The sequence below is a fragment of the Homo sapiens genome, chromosome X (assembly GCF_000001405.40).
Source record: "Homo sapiens chromosome X, GRCh38.p14 Primary Assembly".
Lineage (NCBI taxonomy): Eukaryota > Metazoa > Chordata > Mammalia > Primates > Hominidae > Homo > Homo sapiens.
This window is the reverse complement of record NC_000023.11, coordinates 64,423,258-64,428,555: the sequence shown is the minus strand read 5'-3', so window position 1 is coordinate 64,428,555 and position 5,298 is coordinate 64,423,258. Positions and strand designations below refer to the sequence as shown.

At 40.5% G+C, this 5,298-nt stretch overlaps 1 annotated feature.

The window, feature by feature from the left end:
• Positions 637–686: an enhancer, noted in NCBI's record as "active region_29711". NCBI's record gives its function as "activates an Ori minimal core promoter by ATAC-STARR-seq in GM12878 lymphoblastoid cells {active_cell/tissue: GM12878}" and the evidence as "EXISTENCE:reporter gene assay evidence [ECO:0000049][PMID:35858748]".

Sequence of the window (5,298 nt, the reverse complement as noted above, 5' to 3'; positions counted from 1 at the left end):
GGATTTAATTGCCAATTGAACATAAAATTATAGTAGTCTATTATAAAGGCCTTCAAATATATACACAAACATATACATACACACATACTACACACACAAAGATTCTATAGCTTTTACTTCAGCCATGAGATAAATACAAATTCACCAGCTTGTAAAAAAAAAAAAAAAAGTTAGATCCAAACAGTGGTTTTTATTTCAGTGGAAAATAACGGCAGATTTAAAGCAGGCAGAAAAGAAAAATATAGAAAATTGGGACCTACAAACTCTATAGTCTGCAGGTCAACCTTGGGACTCTTTTACTTTAATGTAAATATGCACAAAAACCATATTACTTCCATTTTACTCTGGTAAGTAGAGGTTCCATAAAACTTACAGAGTGCTCAAAACGGGGTCATTCTCCTTATTTTCTCTTCATTCTTAGATTATTCATTTCCTACTTTTTTTTTTTTTCTTAAAAGGAGAAACTGAGCTGTGGCCTAGGGGTTTTGTGTTGTGGATCAATATGTGCTGCTTGTGGGCAGGACTCCACAGTTGGTCACAACTGAGTCAATTCCACCCTCTTACGTGTCTCAGTTTCACTCCAGAGGTCTATAACCTCTGAGAGGGCTCAAAATGCCAGATGATCAGCCCTTATATGTGTTTCCTGGATGAGACATTTTTAAAATTATTTTTCTTGGGGATTTCTCTACAGGGTCACTGCATGTCATGCAGGTCAACCCCCTAGAAACTCCTACAAGGCTCCTGATCACCCAGGGGTGCCTTTCAGCTTGGAGGAGCAAATGCCCTTTCTCTTTGGAGCTGAGGAAATCTCAGCCTGTCATTAACATATGAAAACAACAGTTCAGTTCCTCATGCAAATGTGCACAGACAAATTGAATTAAGATTAATTCTGGGAGAAAAATCAATAGAGAAGACCCTTTAGAATGCATCTCTGAACAAGAATTAGGATCCTTAAACAACAACTTCCTAGGAAAGAAAAGAAAGAAAAAAGAAAAAAAAAAAAAAAAACCAGCCAAGACAACTTCCTGTAAACTGTGCTCAGTCACCCATAACTTTGTAGCTCTTGTGTGCCACCATACATACCAAGGTCAAATCCTCTCACAATGCAAAAGCCAAAAAGGTCAGGTCATGCAATACAGGAAAACAGAGGTTTAGGCCTAAAAATAATCTGAATTCTTTAAAGGAGTTCAAGTCATTAGAAGCCCTTTCTAGATTTTTTGGTACTGCAGATGGCAAATGGGGAAGGAGGTATAGGGTGAAAGAAAAGTAAATGAAAATAACAATTATGGAATTTTTTAAAGACAAGAAGCAAACACAGAAACCAAACACATGGTTTCCATTTTCTCCTTTTTTTTTTTTTTTTCCTTTTGCACCTGTGAGGAATTTTAGCCAAACTAGAGAGGACTTGTTACACACAATTTGGAATTCTCACTCGGATTTGACCAAGTCAGGCAGAGTAGGTCAAATCTGTTGGGAGAAACACTGGAACAAACAACAACAAAGCCCAGCAATATGATCATTGAGGAGTGCTCTAATGGTAAAGAGAAATTAATATCAACTGGTTGTTAATCTTAACTTTAGCCAAGACAAACCCCAATTCAGTTACTTACCTAGGGATGGGTCTCAGGGTGAAGACTGCTCTCTACCACCTTAGAAGCAGAAAAAGAACCCTTATCTTCCCTGTTGGAAGTGAGCTCAAACTCCATAAAGGAGTTATCTGCCTTCCATTGTCATGGAAGCAGGAAAAACTTGCCTTTCTTGTGTTGGAAGCAAGTAACACTCCAAAAAGGAAGTGGAGTTGTACTGCAAAATAAACTTTAGATCTTGACCAAATCTGGGGAGAACAGGGATTCTCTGGAGGGTGTTCTCTCAGACCTCAGCAAAATTTCCTATTGATTTGAGCCATAAAGTTAGCTCATGCTGGTACCAAGCACCGATAGGAGATTTGTCAAATGTCAGGGGCATCTCCACTCAGAATCCCTTCATGGTAACCAAATGAGAACCTGAAAATTTGAGACAGGGCTCAGTTAATTTAGAAAGCTTATTTTATCAAGGTTGAGGATGCCTGCCCTTGACAAAGCCTCCAAAGGAGGCAATCAGATATGCATTTGTCTCAGTGAGCAGAGGGATGACTTTAAATATAATGGGAGTCAGGTTTGCCCTAAGCAGTTCCCAGCTTGAATTTTCCTTTTAGCTTAGTGATTTTGGGTGCCGAAGATACTTTCCTTTCACAAACTTTTTTTTTTTTTTTTTGAGACAGGGTCTCTCTCTGTCACTCAGCTGGAGTGCAATGGCACAATTAGCCCACTATAACCTCAAACTCCTGTGCTCAAGGGATTCTCCTGCCTCACCCTCCTGAGTAACTGAGACTACAGGTGTGTGCCACCATACCCGGCTCATTTTAAATTTTCTTTTGTAGAGATGGGGGTCTCAATATGTTGCTCAAGCTGGTCTCAAACTCCTAGGCTCAAGCCATCCTTCTGCCTTAGTCTCCCAAATTGTTGAGATTGCAGGCATGAGCCACCACACCCAACTAAACCATGCTTTATCATTAACAAATGGCCATTCTCTTTCCTTCTAGACCACAAGGATGAGGCTGTTTGCTGCTGCTCCTAAGAGCTGCTCCAACACTTTACACAAAAGGCAGCACTTCTTTCTACCCCTCCCCTGTCACCTTAATATCAATTAAAGCCTTTGCTGTAATTGGAGCTTTAAATCCAAGGTTTCTAGATTCTGTTGTCAACCACACGGGTGTTCAGTCTGCCTCCTTCCTCCTACCTGATACTGTAAACCAAAAATGAAATTTTAAGCCGTGCCCCACTCATCTGAATTTCCCCCTCCTCTTCGCTAAGGGTATTTCAGAGTTAACCTGAAAATCTAGTTCAGGCCATGATGGAAGAGGGGGTTGGACATGCCTCATTATACCCCTCCAGTATTAACATTAACACAGACCTTAAGTATGATTAAAAAAAATTACAATCTGTTTTCCCTGGAGTCTGCTATCTGAAGGCTTCATCTGTATGATAAATCATTGGTCTCCATAACCCCTTATCTTCCCCAGACATTCCTATATACTGATAATAACTCTTTCAGCCAATTGCCAATCAGAATATGTTTAAATCTATCTATGACCGGGAATCCTCTGCTTCAAGTTATCCTGCCCTTCCAGATCAAACCAATGTAAATCTTACATGTATTAATTATTGCCTCATGTCTCCCTAAATTGTATAAAAGCAAGCTGTACCCCAACCACGTTGGACACATGTTGTCAGTTCCTCCTGAGGCTGTATAATGGGTGCATCCTTAACCTTGACAAAATAAACTTTCTTAGCTGACTGAGACCTGACTCCAATATTTTGGATTTACAATACCTACAGCATTTTTACATTTTCCAAAGCACGTTGTTTCCATTCATTCATTTTATCCCCATACCAACCCTGCAGGGACCAACATTTTCACATTCTAGGTGAAGAACCAGAGGCCAGGAGAGGTGACGTGGCTAGGATTCAGATTTCAAGCCTTTTCACTCAGCTGTAAATGCCATTGTAGACAACTTGACGTGAAAACAAATATATAAAGAAGTGAATATGCAACTTGTAGAACTCCTAATTAGCAAACAATATGTATCTTTACTGGGGTAATGTGCAAGTATTAGCAGCAGTGAATCCATATGGGTCTGCAGCAACCTCAATTATTGCCTCCTCAGAAGAAATAATTCAACCGAGGGGTATTAAACCCAAATGTCCAACAATGATAGACTGGATTAAGAAAATGTGGCACATATACACCATGGAATACTATGCAGCCATAAAAAATGATGAGTTCATGTCCTTTGTAGGGACATGGATGAAATTGGAAATCATCATTCTCAGTAAACTATCACAAGAACAAAAACCCAAACACCGCATATTCTCACTCATAGGTGGGAATTGAACAATGAGATCACATGGACACAGGAAGGGGAATATCACACTCTGGGGACTGTTGTGGGGTGGGGGGAGGGGGGAGGGATAGCATCGGGAGATATACCTAATGCTAGATGACGAGTTAGTGGGTGCAGCGCACCAGCATGGCACATGTATACATATGTAACTAACCTGCACAATGTGCACATGTACCCTAAAACTTAAAGTATAATAAAAAAAAAAGAAAAAAAAAGAAAATAACCCTGACTAAAAAAAAAAAAAAAAAAAGACAGAAGAAGAGACAAAGGCAAGTTTTATAGCAGGAGTGAAAGTTTATTGAAATGTTTTAGGGCAGGAATAAAAGGAAGTGAAGTACACTTGAAAGAGGGCCGAGTGGGTGATCTGAGAGATCAAGTGCGCAGTTTGACCTTTGACTTGGGGCTTTATATGTTGGCATGCTTCCGGAGGGTTTTGTTTCTTCTTCCCTAATTCTTCCCATGAAGTGGGCTGTCCACATACACAGTAGCCTGCCAGCACTTGGGAGGGGTCACGTGCAGTGGATTTACTAAAGTTGTATGCATGCTCACTTGCAGCATTTTTCCCATACAAGTCCACTGTTCCTAGAAGAAGTTCATCTGCCATTTTGCCTCTTAGTGCACATGCTTGAGCCCACTCACACAACTCCTGAGATGTTATTGAAAAGCTGCTTATTACCAAGTTCAGATGTTCTTATCTATTGGGAGACTGCCTTTTCCTGGTGCTGGCTGTGATCAATTATTATTTTAGAGAGATAGTTATCAACCTCCTGACCATCACCTGATGGTTGCCTGACATTCTTGGTTGGAAAAAGGGGCAGTCTCCTGCCCTGCTTTTGAGATATCTGTTTTATGTTATTTTCCTGTCTGACGATAATAGCTCCATCTGGACTCACCAACCACTCCTGTGGCCCCACCCAGAAGCAACTCTGTGCAAGAGGACAGCTTTGTCTCCCTATGATTTAATCTCCAACCTAACCAATCAGCACTCCCCATACCATAGCCCCCTGCCAACTAAACTGTATTTGAAAAATCCCTAACATCTCAGCCTTTGATGAGATTAATTTGAGTAATTACCCCATCTCCTGTGTGGTATGGCTGACTTCACATAAATTAAACTTCCTTTACAGCAATTCCATGGTCTTTGTTTGTGCAGCAAGTAGAAAGAACTCATCTGATGGTTACAGACATGGACTTGAGATCGTTAAAGAATGAAGGGAGGAGCAGAGACAGGGAGTCAGAAAGAATTCTGAGAACACCATGGGAGAAACTGAGATGCATATCCTGAAAACAGAGGAGTTCGATGTGAATAGACTGTAGAATGCTATAGAGAAAAAGTGGGTACCAAGGCGGCAGAG